Here is a 20086-nt window from a genome sequence, read left to right as displayed (position 1 = left end):
GTTCCACATGAACTTTAAAGTAGTTTTTTCCAATTCTTGAAGAAAGTCATTGGTAGCCTGATGGTGATGGCATTGAATCTGTAAATTACCTTGGGCAGTATGGCCATTTTCAGGATATTGATTCTTCCTACCCGTGAGCATGGAATGTTCTTCCATTTGTTTGTATCCTCTTTTATTTCCTTGAGCAGTGGTTTGTAGTTCTCCTTGAAGAGGTCGTTCATGTCCCTTGTAAGTTGGATTCCTAGGTATTTTATTCTCTTTGAAGCAATTGTGAATGGGAGTTCACTCATGATTTGGCTCTCTGTCTGTTGTTGGTGTATAAGAATGCTTGTGATTTTTGTACATTGATTTTGTATCCTGAGACTTTGCTGAAGTTGCTTATCAGCTTAAGGAGATTTTGGGCTGAGACAGTGAGGTTTTCTAGATATACAATCATGTCATCTGCAAACAGGGACAATTTGACTTCCTCTTTTCCTAACTGAATACCCTTTATTTCCTTCTCCTGCCTGATTGCCCTGGCCAGAACTTCCAACACTATGTTGAATAGGAGTGGTGAGAGAGGGCATCCCTGTCTTGTGCCCGTTTTCAAAGGGAATGCTTCCAGTTTTTGCCCATTCAGTATGATATTGGCTGTGGGTTTGTCATAGATAGCTGTTATTATTTTGAGATACATCCCATCAATACCTAATTTATTGAGAGTTTTTAGCAGGAAGGGTTGTTGAATTTTGTCAAAGGCCTTTTCTGCATTTATTGAGATAATCATTTGGTTTTTGTCTTTGGTTCTGTTTATATGCTAGATTACATTTATTGATTTGTGTATATTGAACCAGCCTTGCATCCCAGGGATGAAGCCCACTTGATCATGGTGGATAAGCTTTTTGATGTGCTGCTGGATTCGGTTTGCCAGTATTTTATTGAGGATTTTTGCATCAATGTTCATCAAGGCTATTGGTCTAAAATTCTCTTTTTTGGTTGTGTCTCTGCCCGGCTTTGGTATCAGGATGATGCTGGCCTCATAAAATGAGTTAGGGAGGATTCCCTCTTTTTCTATTGATTGGAATAGTTTCAGAAGGAATGGTACCAGTTCCTCCTTGTACCTCTGATAGAATTCGGCTGTGAATCCATCTGGTCCTGGACTCTTTTTGGTTGGTAAGCTATTGATTATTGCCACAATTTCAGCTCCTGTTATTGGTCTATTCACAGATTCAGCTTCTTCCTGGTTTAGTCTTGGGAGAGTGTATGTGTCGAGGAATTTATCCATTTCTTCTAGATTTTCTAGTTTATTTGCATAGAGGTGTTTATAGTATTCTCTAAAGAGCTTCTGCACAGCAAAAGAAACTACCATCAGAGTGAACAGGCAACCTACAAAATGGGAGAAAATTTTCACAACCTACTCATCTGACAAAGGGCTAGTGTCCAGAATCTACAATGAACTCAAACAAATTTACAAGAAAAAAACAAACCACCCCATCAAAAAGTGGGTGAAGGACATGAACAGACACTTCTCAAAAGAAGACATTTATGCAGCCAAAAAACACATGAAAAAATGCTCACCATCACTGGCCATCAGAGAAATGCAAATCAAAACCACAATGAGATACCATCTCACACCAGTTAGAATGGCAATCATTAAAAAGTCAGGAAACAACAGGTGCTGGAGAGGATGTGGAGAAATAAGAACACTTTTACACTGTTAGTGGGACCGTAAACTAGTTCAACCATTGTGGAAGTCAGTGTGGCGATTCCTCAGGGATCTAGAACTAGAAATACCATTTGACCCAGCCATCCCATTACTGGGTATATACCCAAAGGACTATAAATCCTGCTGCTATAAAGATACATGCACATGTATGTTTATTGCAGCATTATTCACAATAGCAAAGACTTGGAACCAACCCAAATGTCCAACAATGATAGACTGGATTAAGAAAATGTGGCACATATACACCATGGAATACTGTGCAGCCGTAAAAAATGATGAGTTCATGTCCTTTGTAGGGACATGGATGAAATTGGAAATCATCATTCTCAGTAAACTATCGCAAGAACAAAAAACCAAACACCGCATATTCTCACTCATAGGTGGGAATTGAACAATGAAAACACATGGACACAGGAAGGGGAACATCACACTCTGGGGACTGTTGTGGGGTAGGGGGAGTGGGGAGGGATAGCATTGGGAGATATACCTAATGCTAGATGATGAGTTAGTGGGTGCAGCACACCAGCATGGCACATGTATACATATGTAACTAACCTGCACATGGTGCACATGTACCCTAAAACTTAAAGTATAATAATAATAAATAAATAAATAAAACAAACAAAAAAAAAACCAAGGCAAAAATCACATCACTACAAAAAAATACAAAAGTTAGCTGGGCATGGTGGGTGTCACCTGTGGTCTCAGCTAATCACAAAGCTGAGGTGGGAGGATCGCCTGAGCCCAGGAAGCAGAGGTTGCAGTGAGCGGTGATTGCACCACTGCACTCCAGCCTGGGTAACAGAGCAAGGCCCTAGAAAAAAAAAAAAGAGAGAGAGAGAGAGAAAGAAAAGAAAGGGAGAAAGAGAGACAGAAAGAAAAGAAAGGATGTAGGGTTTGAAATCAACAGACCTGAGCTTCTGTTTTGTCTGTACAATTTATGCAGAGGGTGGAGGGTAGCCTGACTTCTGTCACAGGACCAGCTCTCTAATTTTGTACAAGTCACTCTATAGGTCTCCGTCCCCTCATCTATTAAACAGAGATGATGATGGTGATAATGATAACAATTAACTGGGAGGATTGCAGGAGGATAAAATGGCATAGTCTGCATGAAGTGCCCAACCCATGGCCAGTGCTTACAAATGTTATCTAAGATCAGCATGAGCTCTGAGAACCTGGCTTAGGCTACCAGTCCTCAGGCCCCACTTTGTCACGGAGATGACAGTGAGGGAGGGGGGAGACAGTTGTCCAAGAGATATCTGCCCATCTCAGAATGAGCCTGCTGTGTGGCTTTGAGCTTTGGCATGCAGAGGACAGGGTCTGCACCGTCCCTGATCTGGTCACACCCCCTACTCAGTCTTCCGCCGCCATCAAGCTCTGAGTGAGCCTGGCCATGCATCTGTCACACCTAGAGGGCAGCCTGGGCCAGAGACACAAACAGCCTGTAGCCAGCTGAGTGCTGAGGGAGAGGGGGAAAAAAACACCAAAAAGGTGAGACAGTGGGCCTAAGCACAGGGGATGGGGGCATGGTGAAGCCATTTCCTGCCACCCACATGGAGCCCCTTCTGTGTGGCAGACACTCATCCAGGATCTTAGGATAGAGCAGTGGAATAACAAAGATCCCTGCCCTCATGGGGCTTATGATCCAGCAGGAAGAGACAGACAATGAGTCATAATAAACAAGTAAATTAGATACTGTGTTTGTGTATCAATGCCACGTCAGAAATGCTAAGGGGCATAGGTACAAATACACGGTTTGAGAGAAGAAATAAGACCTAGTGTTAGATATAGATCAATAGGGTCACTGGAGTTTACAGTAATCCATTGTATATTTCAGAATAGCTAGAAGAGAAACATTCAACTGTTTCTGACATAAAGAAAAGACAAATATTCAAGGTGATGAATATCCTCAATTCACTGATCTGATCTTTACAAATTTTATGAATGTATTAAATTATCACATGTACCCCCAAAACGATGTACCTTTAGTACACATTGATTTTTAAAACAGAAGAAATACTAAGGAGAAAGCAGAGCAGAAAAAAGCAGGTGAGAAGGGCAGGGGAGGGGCGGGATGCAGCACTGAACAGGTGGTCAGGTCGTCATTGAAAGTGAGGTTTGGCCGGGCACAGTGGCTCATGCCTGTTAATCCCAACACTTTGGGAGGCCGAGGTGGGCAGATCACCTGAGGTCAGGAGTTCAAGACCAGCCTGACCAACATGGTGAAACCCCGTCTCTACTAAAAATACAAAAATTAGCTGGGTATGGTGGCAGACACCTATAATCTCAGCTACTTGGGAGGCTGAGGCAGTGGAATCGCTTGAACCCAGGAGGTGGAGGTTGCAGTGAGCCGAGATCGCACCACTGCACTCCAACCTGGGTGACAGAGCGAGACTCCATCAAAAAGAAAGAAGAAAGAAAGAAAGAAAGAGAGAGAGAGAAGAAAGAGAAGGAAAGAAGGAAGGAAAGGAAAGAAGGAAGAAAGGAAGGAAGGATAGGAAGGAAGGAAGGAAGGAGGAAGGAAAGAAAAAGAAAGAAAGAAAGAGAGAGAGAGAGGTTTGAGCAGAGCCTTGAGGGAGGCAAGGAGTGAGCAGCAGAGACCCAGGCAGAGCCTCCCAGCAGAGGGACCAGCAAGAGCAGAGGTCTGAGGCAGGAGGGTGCTTTGCATGTTCAGGGGCAGCAAAGAAGCCAGAGCAGCTGCAGCAGGAGAATCGCCGGGACCTGCAAGGCCTATTGATTGCGGATGATTGTTCCAGAGCAGAGCAATGTCCCTTTGGCCTCTTGAGAGCTGTGTGTTCTCTGGTGAATAAAAACAATAACAAAGGCTAGGGAGTGCTTCTCAACGTGTTCAAAGAAGAGTGTCTCTGCACAAGGTAGAGAAATGGATTCCATCTCGGAAGGCAATGAGTTGGCCCAGATACTACTCATCAGTCCAAAGAGACCAGCAGAGGTTTAAGTTGCCATACCCTGGTACATTTCTATGAAACAGGAGTGTGAGTCAGTCCTCTGAAGCTTTAAACCAAGCTTACACTTTTCCCTCTTGCGGATACAGTGTTAAACAGACATCTTTTCCCAAAAATAGAACTGCTTGGTGACATGGAAAACTATGTGGCAGGGAACCCTCCACCTCGGTGAACTCCACTAGTGGGCCCCTGGGAACTCCTGGGCCACTACGCCCTTGGCACTTGCAGCCTTCTTGGCACTTTCACCACCTCTCCTTGCTCAGGCTTTGATCTCCTAGTTAGACTGGCACCCGTCACAGATGCAGAGAAGCCCACAGAGTGCATCATCCATTTCATCCATCATTTCTCCTCATGTCTTCCTTCCATTGCCAGGGTGCACAGGCCTAGCCCAGCCCTTTTCACATGTCGTATGTTGTGCAAATCTGCCCTCAGAATGGTCCTCGCTGTCACACGGCTCGTCCCATAGAGAAGCAGTACAACACTGGTCTATTTTCTCAATCAATTCCGCTTTGAGGTCCATTATAATAGTTCTCGTCTTCTCCCCACCACTTACAACACTGAATGCTTTTACATTTTCCAAACAAGAGAAAGTGAATGCAATGGTCACAAAGTAGGCACAAACTCAGCAAACACATGATAGACACACCACATGGGGAACAAGGCCTAATGACAGGTGAACGTGTGATTCCCTCTGGCACGGAGCTTCCTTTACATCTATGAAAGCGTGGAAGTAGAACCTTCACAAGCAGAGGGGCTTTTGTCAGCTTTTTAAAAATGCAGCTGGCCCCTGACTTCTCCATCCCAGTTCTTCCTAGCCTCTGCCCAGGTTCCATATTTAAGCAAGCCTGGAGAGCTGGGGAACTGGAGGGCCAAGCTGAGCTGACCCAGCACCATGCGTGCTGCCGTGTCATCCATTTCATCTGGTTCTCAGCTGTTCTTTGGGATTTATTTCCCCTCTCTCTTTCCTTTATCCCGTCTTTGCTGAATATCCCAACTTTCTTCCTATATGCAAGAAATAAACACATTAAATAAAAGACAACCTGCCCCAGAGTCAGCTACAAGCACCCTCCACTCCAGGACCAGCTATTGGGTGGGTGAGACACCACTAGGAAATGGCCTTGGTGCTGCAGTGACTGCTCTTGGCGTTCACTTCATTTCAGCAAGCAGTTGGCTAGGATGGGAGGCTGGAACGGGGGCACGTCAATGAGTGATTGTAATAATAACCTTGAATTTTCTGCATCAGATCCTTCCAGACAGTGTCAGCAAGCCTTCCAACATCCTTATAAAATAGATATGATTGCCTCCACTTTAGAAAGAAGGAACTGATAGCAGGGTGTGGTGTAGCACACCTGTAATCCCAGCTACTCAGGAGGCTGAGGCAGGAGAACCACTTGAACCCGGGAGATGGAGGTTGCAGTGAGCCAAGATGGCACCACTGCATTCCAGCCTGGGCAACAGAGTCTGTCTCAAAACAGAAAAAGAAAAACAAGGAAAGAAAGAAGGAACTGAGGAGAAAAGTTAAGCACCTTCATTCGTTCATTCATTTGTTCATTCATTCATTCACAAGGTGCCTACTCTGTGAGCTACTGGCCAAGAACTAGTGTTCAAGCCCAAGTCTGTTAGATCCCACCAGTTTCTGGTGACTCATGCTTCTTTAACCTTGGGCCTCAGAAAACTTGCCCTGCAGCCAAGGAGACCCACATGTCGTTTCGGTGCCACTCACAAAGTGGGGTTAAACACATCTGATGCGAGTCACATGTCACATGCTGTGGGAGCTGGAAGCAAGAAATGATTCCAAGGGGATCTGGAAAGGCACACAGAAGACGTGGCACTTGCATGGGGCTGGCACACACACCCTGGCGAGGAGCCCTGGAGTCCAGTCCCTAGAGAGAGGGGGTGTTGTTGTGTGTATGGGAGCAGCCCATCCTAGGAGGCAGGCATATGAGAGGCTTGGGGGGCTCCCTTGGGACCCACAGTGCGTCAGTAACTGGAGCTTGAGCTCCTCAGACTCCACATGGCAGGACAGAATCTTAGAGGGCCACTTCCATGCCCCTAGCAGCTGGCCCTCAGTGCTGGGTCAGACCCAGAGCCCCAGAAAGCCTGCCCCTCTGAACCAAGGGGCATCAGGAGTCTGTGACACCCTATTCCCTCTCAACACTGTCTCTGCAGCAGAGGCTGTGAGTCTACGCCTCCTCCCTGCCCCTGCTTCCCACTGTCCCCACTCCTCCAACATGTTCCTCCTGGACTTCTATGCTCATAGAATTGCTGTATGCAATCATTTATTCATGCCACATCTACCAGTTGACTATTGGTGCCAGGCATTGTGGAAGGTGCTGAGGAAACAGCTGGAGTCAAAGCAGACCTGACGCTGTACTCTGGGAGCATGTGCCTTAATGGGGAGATGAATACATAAGTGGCAGTTGCAATGCCGTTCATGCAGTAAGCCCAGGGCATTCTGGGGCTAGTACGAGGGGCATCCTGCCCTTCCTGAGTGACCTCCAAGGGCTTTTCAGTAGAAGTAAAGCTGAGCTAGAACGTGAAGATAAGTTGTTAACCTAGGGGCTGGGTAGAGTAGGAAACAGACCCAGACCATCACAGGCAGAGGGACCTGCACATGCAAAGGCCCAGAGGAGAGGAGAGGAGAGGAGAACAAGGGGCGCTATAGGAAGAGGTTCTGGGTGGATGGAGCAAGGCAAGGGGCAGGAGGATGCTTGGAGACATGACTGGAGCAGCCCCACAGAACTGTAGCATGTGCAGATTTCATCCCCATAGCCGCACAGAGCTGCTGCAGGATTTTAAGTGCAGGAGTGGCAGAATCACAGAGCGAGGTCTGAAGAGTCATCTGGCACAACTTCTCATTTTGGACAAAGAGGCCAAAACTCAGAGACAGGAAGCAGCTTGTGCGGTGTCACTGTGGAACTGGTTAGAACTCAGGTCTCCAGACTCATTGTCCAGTGCTCACTGCCCTGGGCTGCAGCCTCACCTCCCATTAGGGAGGGATCTGAAGATGCAAGAGGGAGAAGACACAGGTCCTCCTCCCACTGCCCTGCTGAGAAGAGGAGAGCCTGCCTTCCTCACCAGGTGCTCCAGTGCTGCCCAGAGGCACAGACATGTTCACCAATAAACTCTGTGTCCACAACAGCCTGGGGAGGGGTCTGCCCCTGCAGCCTGAGCTCTCCTGCTCACCTGCCAATAATGGCTGTGCCCAGGGGCCCCAGCACCCGCCCTCCATCTCTATCCCTGAAACCCATCTGGCAGCCCTGGAGCCCCGCCCTCAGGAGAGCTCTTGGTCCAGGCCCCACCAGGGTGGGGAGTTAAGCTTGGTTAGACATTTCCTGTTACTGCCTCATTAATTATGCAATACAATGATGATTAATTTTACAGTAAGAAGTAAAGCTGTTGGAGGGAATGGGCAGTGGGGGAGAAGGGGTGTGGGGGGCACAGGATGAAAACCATTGCCCCTAAAACAGGGATGGGCAGGCAGGATGTTATGCCAATTTTTCTCTGACACTCTGAGTCTCAGGGGCATCTCCCAGGGACTCAGGAAACTTGCACAGGAGCTAGATTTCTGCCACCCTGGCAAGAGGCAGGTACAGAAGCAAAGCCATGAGGTTTGCCTGCCCCAGGTCCTAACAAGGTCCCAGAGAGAGCCTTGGCTAGGAGTCAAAAGGCTGGGTTCTGAGTCTGGCTTTCCCGTGAGTTAACTGTCTGTCCTCAGTTTCTTACATGTAAAATAGGATTATCAACTCTCACCTGGTCTACTTGAATGGAGCAATACGCAAATCAAATGAGAAGGGTTTGAAAGCACCAGTGTAAAATACAATGAGGATATGACAGTAGAGAAGGGGACTGCAGTGGCTACAGGGCTGTTTCTGGACAGCTTGAGACATCAACTCATCCCTCTGGGCTTAGTGGCGCACCTCCTGAAGTTGCTGTGCTGATTAAATAAGATACTGTATCCAAAACCGTAGCATAGTACCTGGACAAAGTAGGCACTCAACAAATGGTGGCTGGATTTAGAGCTATTATTATTTCCATCATCACCATCACTAATAAAATGCAGACCTTTCCAGCCCTTAAATTCTTCACTGTGTCCCTGGTCAAAGTGGCCCCCCCTTTCTTTCAAGGGAGAAGCCCACTTCAATGCCCCATCACACCCTCATCCTGCCCCCACCCCTCCCAGCAGCCGGGCCTGTCTAAATTCACTTGGGGAACTCACCCAAGGAGCTCTGGGCAGGGGGCTGGAGCTTCTCTGGGTTTGGGGCAGGACTTTCCCCCTTTGGCTTCTTCCTACCTAGCCCTTTGCCCCTCCCCCCAACTCTAGGCCCTTCCTTCCTGTATCCCACCCTCCCTCTCACCCCAGCCAGCCTGACATCCCGACACCTGAGTGGTGAGCCCTGCTGTGGCTTCCGTGCCCTGGGCGAGGGTCTCTCTGTAGACATTCTCCCCTCCTTCTCCAGTGGGAGCTCTCTGCCCCTTCTTCAGCCCAGGGACACCTGTGGTCTGAAGAGCGCCTCTTCATGCCACCAAGCCAAACTTGGGTCTGCCTGCCTGGCTCAGCAAAGCCAAACACTGATGCTGAGATTTGCAACGAGAGGGGGGATAAAAGGCACGTATTGCGGGGCACCAAACAAGAATCAGACAAACTCCCTGATGGCTTACAAGCAAGGGCTTATAAAGGAAGGGTACATTTCAGAAAAGCAGGAGTTACAGGCAAAAATCATAAATCCATACATAGTGCAAGGTCATACATGGGTTTGGCACAAAAAGGTGAGATATATTGAAGTGCAGGGCTTAGAGGTCACAGGTGGATTTAGAGATTTTTAAATTTGCAGTTGGTTACGAAAGTGAGGCTTTGTCTAAAAACTCGGGGTCAGTGACAAGGAATGTGAAGATTTGGCCTGAGGGCATGACTCTCCCCAGTCCCCTCAGGAAGGGACTCAGAAAGACCGGCTGGAGTTCAGTCCTCAGTGTCCCCTTACCTGAGCTGTACATGATGGCGGTCGGCATTTTCCATTGGGTTTGGGTCTGGGTTTCTGAATATTAAGATGTTATCTCTGGTGTCTTTCTTTTCTTTCTTTCTTTGTGTCTGTTTTTCTGTCTTTCTTTTTCTTTTTTTCCCCATATATGGAAGGAGACCACCACGTCTGTTGTCCTTCCCAACTTCTCCCCAACCTCCCCTTTTCCCTAGTTTATAAGACAGGAGAAAAGGGAGAAAGCCAAAAGTTGGAAAGAGACAGAAGTAAGATAAATAGCTAGACGACCTTGGCACCACCACCTGGCCCTGGTGATTAAAATAATAATAATAAAATTAACCCCTGACCAAAACTACTGGTGTTATCTGTAAATTCCAGACATTGTATGAGAAAGCACTGTAAAATTTTTGTTCTGTTAGCTGATGTATGTAGCCCCCAGTCACCTTCCTCACGCTTACTTGATCTATTATGACCCTTTCACGTGGACCCCTTAGAGTTGTAAGCCCTTAAAAGGGCTAGGAATTTCTTTTTCGGGGAGCTTGGCTCTTAAGACGCGAGTCTGCCGATGCTCCCAGCCAAATAAAAACCTCTTCCTTCTTTAATCCAGTGTCTGAGGAGTTTTGTCTGTGACTCGTCCTGCTACACATAGAGACGGGGTTTTTCCATGTTGCCCAGGCTGGTGTTGAGCTCCTGGGCTCATGCAATCCACCCTCCTCAGCTTCCCAAAGTGTTGGAATTACAGGCGTGAGCCACCGTGCCCAGCCATTATCTTTGGTTTCTATAGGTAACTGAACATCTCGTGGCTCCAACTTCCTTGGGTGGCTATTGTTTTATTATCTTCTTGCTTCTCTGGTTGCTCATTTACTTCTCAGGGCTAGTAAGGTGCCTGGAATTTCCCTGGAAGGGACTCAAGATTTTCCTTTATTTCCATGTTTTGGGGGACCCTGGCAGGCCCTTAAGGGTCCCCGCTCCACCTCACTTGCTCACGTTTCGTGAAATTTCATGGATCTGTGGTGCCTGTAGGTGCTGGCAGCAGCTTCTCAGTTTGCCCACAGCTACATGCCCACTGCTTCTTTTGTTGCCTCTATGGCACCCGGCACTGCCCTGTGCCTGGGAGACACTGGCTAAACCTCATCGCCCATCCCCGTCTTTTCTGCTTTTTGTCCCTCTCCTCTGATCCTGCCACCAGGGTTCCCAGTCCTGGTGGGAAATGTCCATCATTGACATTTTGGACCTGATCATTCTCTGTTGTGGTTGCTATCCCGGGCTTGTAGGATATTTAGCAGTGTCCCTGGCCTTTACCCACTAGATGCTAGAAGCAACTGCTCTCTCCTCACACCCAGTCATGACAACCAAAAATGCCTCCACACATTGCCATATGTCTCCTAAGGGGCGAAAATCACCCCTCGTTGAGAACCATGGCCCTAGATCTACACCCTAGATAGATCTAGGCCCCTAAAGCCTCAGCCCGCTTTTTCCCCACCCCATCCCTGCTCCCTTGCTTTGTTCCTTCTCACTGCCTCCCTCCTGATCACCCCACAGCCAAGTGGCACTTTATAGCCCACACTGGACTAAGCACCTTCTGCAGCTGGAACAGCTGCTCTTTCTTCCGGCTACCCAAAGCCAGAGCTGCTCAAGATGGAGACAGAAAATGCAAATTGCACACAGTGAAATGCTTTGCTGACGCCTGGGGCCTCTCCCTTGTTTTCTGCTCAGATGAAAGGCAGGAAGAGGGGCTCGAGTGAGGCGGGCAGGGACTCCTGGGAAGCTGCGGCTCGCTTTCTACCCAGCTCCCACTGTACCCAACCCCCTCCAGGGACGGTGGTCAGGAGGGGGGCTGGGGAAACTCCATGCTCTTCAAAGGCACAGAAGAAGGTGGAGAGCAGGGTGGAGCCTTCTTTCCTGCACCTTAGGGCTTCAGAGCCCCACGTCTCTTCCAGGGAAGCAGCCCAGACTGGTATTAAGTGTTTTCAGCCTAATCCTGAGAGGTCACCTTCTTTCTCTAAGTCAGAGCCTCCCCTGCCACACTGCCTCTGCACCTTCTTCCTGCAAGTCCCCCACCTGCTTAACCTCCCACTCATGACACCTGACTCTCATAGACTAACTACGGGCATCTTAAATTCCTTCAGCATCACCATGAAGTGCTCAGAAGAATCCCTTTATGGCTATTGGAAAGATCCCTCACCCAAGATCTAGCCCAACGTGCATCCTGCCTGGTCCTGTGTGGACTGTCCCTTCCCTGCATCCATCTCCAGGAGAGGGCATTGCTCCCCTCTCACTGGTGAGATGCTAATGTGCCACCGCTTTACTAGCATCCTCCACCCCACCAGACCAATTTAATCCAACAAAAAGGGATTCATACTGCAGCTAAGAAGATGTGGGCATGTCGGCGGTGAAGCTTCTAGAATCTAGATGGATGGCTACATAAGGTCGCCAGCCCTTCCCTAGTGCCCTTGAAGTCCCACTGGACAAGCTGACTTCTCTGGGCCTTTGACCCTCACTGGGAGGCCAAGGACATGGTTACACCCATCTCTTCAGTGGTCAGCAATGATGAGGCCATACTGGGGCATAGCTGTACCATCAGACCGAGTCCCCACTTCCAGGGCCCTGGGGTCAGGTGGTATCTCACGTAGGGTAGGTCCATGGGATGCATCTTTGTCTTCACCTTTTTCCACCACCCCTCTGCCTGCTTCCTTCAGGCCCACTAGCAGGGTGAGAGAAATTAACTGGAAAAGATTTAGATTAACTGGACAAGATTTAGATTGACACCTGTGAGTCGAGAAAGGAAAGGGTCTCCAGTTTCTTTCTCTCTGTCTCTGTAAATATAACCTAGTTCATCCTTGTAACACCCTTCTCCCCTCCAGAAACCTTCTGTGGCCCTCTGTGGCCCATCAGATGAGCTAGAGCCCCTTGCCCCGGCATTCAAAGCCTGCACCATGCAGCCCACAGTCTGTACCTGCTGGACCTCCTGTAGCCCCCAACTGACCCCTCAGCTCCAGCCAGAACTGAGGATGTCCCTTCTCCCCATCTCCCTGCAGGGTCACTGAGCTCTTTCTGTGTGCCAGGCCCCATGCTGATCACTTCATAATGCTTCATCTCCTGTAATTCTCATAACGCGCCTCTGAGATTGGTGCTGGGATTAACCTCCTTTTACAAATGTGGAAACTGGGGCACAGAGGAATTGGAAACTGACATCAATAAGTGGCAGAGCCAGACCTTGGCCCCAGACAGTGCAACTGCAGAATCTGCTGCACATCCTACCCTCCTCCTCCACCTTCTCTTCCCCCTCCTCCCCCGCCCCTCCTCAAGGACCCTTGGAATAAGCTCCCCCCTGGCTTCCTGCTGCCAACCTCACTCCATTCAGAGCCCCCTCCATACTCTGCAGGAGAGGGCTTTCCATGAATCAGAGCTGATCACCATAGTTAAGCTGCCATGTCTGTAGGGCCCAGCATGACCCTCTCTCCCTCTGCTGAAAGCCCTCAGCCACCACCTATGCACAGGCTAAAAGGCAGGCTCCTCTCTGGTCACTCAAGTCTTCACACTCAGGCCCTGTGGTGTCTAATTCATCACCCGCCAAACCCCTGCTCTCCCTGCCCCGTGCATCCCTGCTTCCCAGATGCTCCCTGCCCTTTCCTGCCTTAACACCTTTGCATATGATGTGGCCTTCACTTCCAATACATCACCTCACTCCCAAACTGGGAGAGAAGACACACGTGTCCTTCAGGACCCAGCTCAACTGCAACCTCCTCTGTGACACCTTCCCTGACTCTCCCAGAGACAGCGGTCACTTCATCCTCTGGGCTCCCTGCGCACCTTGAGCTCCTCCTGTCAGGGAGTTTGTTTCTGGGTCTGTATCCACCTCCGCAGATCCTGAGCCCCTGGAGGTCAGAAGAGTTCTAGTCAACCCATCATTACTGAGCACTTGCCATCTGCCTGATACACAGGCACCAGGGGTCCAGATCTGAACAAGATCTTGACCTTCAAGGAGCTTCTGTCTAGCAGAGAGCTGGCATGAAATACCCAATCTTAAGAAAGGTGATAAATAGTATGAGAGAGGTGGCCATGGGTTGCTACGGGAGCCCAGACATGGGGTAACACACCCATCCAGGGCAATGCCCCACCTGAGTGCAAAGGCCATGGAAGAAGCTGTCTGGCCAAAAAAAGGAAGCAGCTCAGAAGGAAGAGGGGCCATGCAGGGGGCCCAGCATGAGCAGAGGCACAGAGTGTGGGGTCTACAGGAGATGCAAGGTGCCATCATGTGAGAAGATGGTAGAGAAGAGGCAGGGGACGTGGAAGCAGTCAGAGGGGATGAGTTTGGGTACTGTCTCCATTAGAACTGCATTTGGCTGTATGTAACGAAAACCCTCCACAACAGCGTGGCCAAATTAGAGACCTGTTTTTCTTGTCTAACAAGGAGTCTGGGGACTGGCAGTTCAGGGCTGACCCAGGAGATCAGGCTCCTGTTCCCTTCCTGCTCTGCCATCCTCATGATTGCAACACAGCTGCACTTCTGAGCCTCACTTTCCAGCAGGAAAAAAGGAGGCAGGACAATGTTTAAAATGTTTGTGCCAGGCCGGGCGCGGTGGCTCACACCTATAATCCCAGCACTTTGGTAGGCCAAGGCAGGTGGTTCACTTGAGGTCAGGAGTTCGAGACCAGCCTGGTCAACATGGTGAAACTCCGTCTCTACTAAAAATACAAAAATTAGCCAGGTGTGGTTGTTCCCACCTGTAGTCCCAGCTACTTGGATGAGGCAGGAGAATCCCTTGAACCCAGGAGGCGGAGGTTTCAGTGAGCCGAGATCGCACCACCGCACTCCAGCCTGGGTGACAGAGCAAGACTTCATCTCAAAAAATAAAAATAATAAATAATAAATAATAGAATAAAATGTTTTTGTCCATGGTATCTGTCTTTTACTATTTTTTGAAATTGTGGTAGAATATACATGACAACATTTCCCATCTTAACCATTTTAAGTGTCCAGTTCAGTGGCATGAAGTATATTCACATTGTGGTACAGCCATCGCCACTATTTCCAAAACTTTGTCATCAGAAACTCTGGACCCACTATGAGCAATAGCTCCCCATTCCCCCTCCCCTCAGCCCCTGGAAACCACCATTCTTCTTTCTGTCTCTATGAAATGGACTACTCTAGGGACCTCACATAAGTAGAATCATACAGTATTTGTCCCTTTGTGTCTGCCTTATTTTACTAAGGATAATGTCCTCAAAGTTCATCCATGTTGTAGCATATGTCAGAATTTCCTTCCTTTTAAAGGCTGAATAATATTCCATTGTATGTGTATGCAATGTTCTATTTATCTATTCATCTGTCAGTGGACATTTGAGTTGCTTCCACCTTTTGGCTATTGTGAATAATGCTGCTCCGAGCATGGGTGTACAAATACCTCTTCCAGTCCCGGCTTCAGTTCTTGTGGGTGTATACCCAGACACTTCTGGATACATACCCAAATTGCTGGATCACATGGTGATTCTAGGTTTCATTTTTTTTGAGGAGCCATCCACTGTTTTGCTAGCTGCTGTGCCATTTTATATTCCCACCATCAGTGCACGAGGATTTCAATTTTGCCACATCCTTGCCAACACTTGTTATTTTCTGAGTTTTGGGTTTGTTTTTTAATAATAGCTATCCTCATGGGAATGAGGTAGTATCTCAATGCGGTTTTGATTTTTCATTTCCCTAGTGTTGAGCATCTTTTCCTGTACTTATTAGCCATCTGTATCTCTTCTTTGGGGAACTGTCTATTCAAGTCGTTTGACCATGTTTAAACTGGGTTGTTTGGTTTTGTTGTTGAATTGTAAGCATTCTTTATATATTCTGGATATTAACCCCTTATCAGAGATATGATTTGCAAATATTTTCTCCCATTCCATGGGTTGCCTTTTCACTCTGATGGTTGAGTCCTCTGATGCATAGAAGTTTTACATGTTGATGATGTCCAATTTATCTATTGTTTTCTTTTGTTAGCTGTGCTTTTGGTGTCATATCCAAGAAATTGTTGCCAGATCCAGTGTAATGAAGGTTTTCCCTTATCTGTTCTTCTAAGAGTTTTATCATTTTAGGCTCTTGCACTCAGGCCTTCGATCCATTGTGAATGTCTGTCCTTTCTGTTTGAAGAAGAAATGCTTTCTCGGAAGCCCTTCCCTATCCCTCAACCCTCAAGAAACTTGATCTCATCACCCAGAACAGGCGGTGATGGACAACTTTGCCAACCCAAAAACATTTGTAAGAAAGGGAAAATAGATATTGTATAGACAGCAAGCAGTGTCTTCCCAACCACGCACTTCCCCGGGCCAGCCTGGGACAATACTGAGCACATCGCGCACTTGTAGTAAGCAGACACTCGGGTCTGTGCCTGTTGAATTCCCTGGTGAATGGTCAACTGGGAACAGGCCAGTGGAGTGACTTCATGGAGGCAGAAATGACCCTGGATTTGACACTAAAGGTGCAAGCCCTGGCCCGCCACTTCCAGCCTTGTTGCCTCCAGCAAGACACTTCACCTAGCTGAACCTGTTGTCTCGACCTCAAAACGATGATAGCAATCACTTTCCTTTACGTCAGTGTTTCACAGATTACAGGACCCTCTTGCATATATTATCCTTTTCATCCCCACAAGGACCCTGTGAAGTAGATAGGGTAGGATTTCGTTAATCTCTGTTTTCAAGGTGAGGAAATGATTGCCCAGAGAGATTAAGTGATTTACCCAAGGAGGCTCAGCTGAGTGCCAAAAAGGGCCCTCTAACTTCCCAGGCAGTGTGGTCCCCTTCCTGCTCATCTCGGGGGCAGGGGAGAGGGGGGTGGATTGTGAGTGTCAAATGAGGGCCTGGACAGGAAAGTGCTTTGCAGAAAAATGGGTGTGTTTGGTTTTTCAGTGTCTGTGTAGATTGGGGATGGTTCTATTTGCTCCATAGGAGATGCAACAAGATGAGATTAGGTCAAAGCAGGAGAGTCAAGGCACCTGCTTTCCTCCCAGGCACCTGTTGAGACAATTGTCAAGGCGGGAGGGCTGCTCCACTGACTGACATTCCCCACAGCCCAGTAGGGACGTAGCTCCCAGAGAGGGTTTTTACTCTACGGGTCAGACACCTTCCAGGTGCATGCCCACCCCGATGGACCTGCAGGCTCTGTTACCGCAGCTCCTCGCCTCTCTCCCTTCCCCGCAGCTGCCCCCACCCCATCACACTCTGTCCCCCACCTTCTCTTCCCCCTCCATACTCCCTCCTTTCAAAAGTATAATGAGTCTGATAAGACATTGTCTCCTTAACAGGATTAGCCACGGAGATCTCTTGTCCCCTCCCACTCATTCTGTAATACTCCTCATCTCGTGTCCTGTAATTTTCTGCTGGTATCAGAAGCTCTGGACCACCTCGGTGATATTAATTTCTCCTCGCTCTTTAATGGTGTGACTGCTGATATGCTGAGATGCCCCCCACAGCCGCCAGGCCACCAAGGCCCTGTGGGTAAATTACACGAAGCCCTCAGAGGCTCTCTCCCTCCAAAGTCAGCTGCTGTCCCCTCCAGACCCCCTTTCCCCAACTGCCCCATCTCCCAGTTCTGGGGGCAGCAACTACCTCTATCTTATAGGCCAAGGAGGCAGGTCTAAACATGGCACTCAGGTGGCAGAAGGATGACAAATGCATGCCCCCAATCCAGTTCTTCCCTTCCCTTTCTACCCTGCACCCAACACGCGTCCCTCAGAAGACTCTAAGCAGGGTGCAGGCAGGGAGAGTCAGGCACGGTGGGGGAGAGGGCTGAGCTCTGGACCTGAGTTCTCCTCCTAGGTCTGTGACATAGACAACCTAATGACTTATACAACCTTTCTGAGCCTCAGTTTTCTCATCTGTACATTGGGGATGACCATATACATCTGGCAGGATTGTGGGAAAAGCCCAGAGTTCAGGACCTGACACACAGCAGGTGCCTGGCTGGAGTTTAGTGGGATTGGAGAATGCAGCTTTTGGAATTTTACCCAGAAATGCTTTCTCAACCCTGAGGTATATCCCCAAACTTTTTGTTTGCACCAATTCTCTCTGACCTTTGTCCTTCCAGATATCTTTTTCTTTACACGTTTTTAGGGACTAATGCAGAGGAAACTTTATGGCCCTTCAACCCAAAATGTTAATTAGAGGATAACGCAACGTGTAGGGTGAATCCTGAGAAGAGGGGGCAGGAAAAGAAGAGAATTGCCTGACCCCTGCCCCCAGCCCATGGCTGAGGACAGAGAAAAGGGGCATCCTGAGAAAGGCCATGTCCCGCATAATCTGGGGCCAAGGGCAAGAAGAAACCCTGACTTGGGGTCAGCTGGGCATTTTCAGGAAGAGAGAGAGATACAGGCAGGCCAGTGCCCGGAGGAGTTAACAGAGGTAGAGAGGAAATTGCCAGAGTCAGAAGAGGTGAGGCTGGAGCTAAATCTAAGTTAATTTGGAAACAGTTTTGTGATCGATTGTGCAGAGAGTGTCAGCGAGTGAGAGGTGGGAAATTGCACCTGTCTGGTGAATGAGCTCAGAATTCCAAGTGTGCTGGGGAGGCTGGTGCCACGCTGGCCAATGCCAAGGTGGGGAGGCAGTGCGTGTCCAGGGAGCTGGCGGGGCCCGTCTCCTTGCTCAGAAGATAAATGCACAAAAAGCATAGCAGAAATCATCTATTATACCTTTACTGTATGCCCAGCCCAGTGTGAAACCGTTACCTAAATTTCTCAGATAATGTTTGTAACACCCTGAAAGCTGGCCATGGGCAGCAGCTAATGTCAATAAACAGACACTGGGCTTTCAGGCCAGACACTGGGCTTTCAGGCCAGACACTGGGGCCAGGGAGGTGGGATTTGAGGCCTCTGTCCTGAAGGAATGTGGAGTCACACAATCTAGGTTCGAATCCCAAATGTGTTGTTCTCTAACTCTGTGACTTTAGGCAAGCTTCTGAATCTCTATGAGCCCAGTTCCCTTGTCTATAAAATGAGGATCATATTGCCCTCCTCTCAGGATGAAATTGAGGCAATGCATGTAAAGTATCTAGCACTAAGCCTAGAACATAGTGGAAATTATCAATTAAGAGGTACGTCCTCTTAATTGGCAAGCTATCAGTGAATTTTACAAATTAATAGTAAAAGGCCAGTATATGATGAAAGCTGGATAAGGGGTATAGATACTGTGAGCTAGGGGTAGCAAGAAATGACTAACTAAGGGCTGTCAGGAGACAAGGGAGAAGAGGTGCTGAGATGACCCAGTGTGGAAAGGTTGGTGCATGGACCAGTAGAGTTGGGGCAGAGCACTCATATACTCATATGTTCACATGTTCACAACACAAATGTTGATGGGACTTGGAACATTTCTACCTTTACTGATAAGCTCCCTGGCTGGCATGGCTGATGTACATACAGTCACGCCGATTAGCCTGTAAGCTTAAAAAGCAGAGGTTCAAAATAGCTGAATTGCCTCTGCTATTTGAGCAGCAGCAGAGGATTTTTAACAGTTCTAAGAAGAGGAAAATGGGAGTCAAGCATGATCTAGAATCACTGGCCCAGCAGTCACTCCAAGCTCCGGAGTGTACCGATGTAGACGTTGGATGGGAAGCTGTAAGTCATAATCATGAGAGCAATCGTTTATCACGCAATCACTGTGCAGGCGCTGGGCCTGGCACTTTAATTCACGTGACCACTACAACTCTGTGTGATTGGTACTGTTATTAGCACAATTTTATAGATGAGAAAACTGAGTTAGAGAGGCTAAGTAACCTGTGCAAGGTCACACTGATAGAACGGAAGTCTATCTGACTTCAGAGCCACGTACTTGCCACTGAGGCAGAGTAGCCAAGATTCATGCGCTCATTCAATCATCCATTCATTCATTTAAGGAATATTTTTTGAGCACCATCTCGAAGGTGTTGTAACTGAAACTGAGCCCAGAGCAGTGACCAACATGCGCCGGGCCTTTACCAAGTGCCAGGCTAGGGCTGTGCTAAGGACTGGGAGGCAGGGGAATGAGCCCACCTGCTGCTCCTGGCCTTTGGAGGCTGCAGCCACTCATTGTGGGGCTTCTGTGTGCAGGAGGAGGCCATTGGAGGCCTCTGAGGCAGGTAGACCCCCGGAGTGGGAAGGTGGTGATGGGGAAACACATGTAGGAAGGACAGAGGGATGGTCTCCACTGCCACCCAGTGCCCTTGGAGCCACACAGGGACACAGGGGCAGACACCAGATGGCTGCAAGAGGTCACAGTGCCATGTCCCTTTTAGCCACATCCCCTTATGAGAACCAGTAAGACCCGTTTTCTCCTTGTCTGTGTATAAGCACCCCATTATTACCAAGGCATGAAAAAGCAGAGACAGAAATGAGCCCATGTGAGGCACAGTTCCACGGCAGCCCAGCGACTCCTCCCGGTAACTCTCTAGAGGGTGTGATCAAAACCACCTTGTAGATTTCAAGACTGCG

At 48.4% G+C, this 20086-nt stretch overlaps 1 protein-coding gene across 5 annotated transcripts in view, besides 4 other annotated features; it reads left to right on the top strand.

Moving 5' to 3' along the window:
- Nucleotides 1-20086, top strand: part of DSCAML1 (DS cell adhesion molecule like 1) — a 389743-nt gene that overhangs the window by 248626 nt on the left and 121031 nt on the right. The gene's annotated exons all lie outside the window — the stretch shown is intronic.
- Nucleotides 8531-9031: an enhancer, noted in NCBI's record as "H3K4me1 hESC enhancer chr11:117430573-117431073 (GRCh37/hg19 assembly coordinates)". NCBI's record gives its function as "activates a minimal SCP1, AML or CMV promoter by ChIP-STARR-seq in naive H9 embryonic stem cells {active_cell/tissue: H9 hESC(naive)}" and the evidence as "EXISTENCE:reporter gene assay evidence [ECO:0000049][PMID:30033119]".
- Nucleotides 9032-9532: an enhancer, noted in NCBI's record as "H3K4me1 hESC enhancer chr11:117430072-117430572 (GRCh37/hg19 assembly coordinates)". NCBI's record gives its function as "activates a minimal SCP1, AML or CMV promoter by ChIP-STARR-seq in naive H9 embryonic stem cells {active_cell/tissue: H9 hESC(naive)}" and the evidence as "EXISTENCE:reporter gene assay evidence [ECO:0000049][PMID:30033119]".
- Nucleotides 10157-11028: an enhancer, noted in NCBI's record as "H3K4me1 hESC enhancer chr11:117428576-117429447 (GRCh37/hg19 assembly coordinates)". NCBI's record gives its function as "activates a minimal SCP1, AML or CMV promoter by ChIP-STARR-seq in primed H9 embryonic stem cells {active_cell/tissue: H9 hESC(primed)}" and the evidence as "EXISTENCE:reporter gene assay evidence [ECO:0000049][PMID:30033119]".
- Nucleotides 11029-11901: an enhancer, noted in NCBI's record as "H3K4me1 hESC enhancer chr11:117427703-117428575 (GRCh37/hg19 assembly coordinates)". NCBI's record gives its function as "activates a minimal SCP1, AML or CMV promoter by ChIP-STARR-seq in naive H9 embryonic stem cells {active_cell/tissue: H9 hESC(naive)}" and the evidence as "EXISTENCE:reporter gene assay evidence [ECO:0000049][PMID:30033119]".

Source organism: Homo sapiens, chromosome 11 (assembly GCF_000001405.40).
Source record: "Homo sapiens chromosome 11, GRCh38.p14 Primary Assembly".
NCBI lineage: Eukaryota > Metazoa > Chordata > Mammalia > Primates > Hominidae > Homo > Homo sapiens.
Note: the sequence above shows the minus strand (reverse complement) of the source record. Positions and strands in the feature narration are given on the sequence as shown.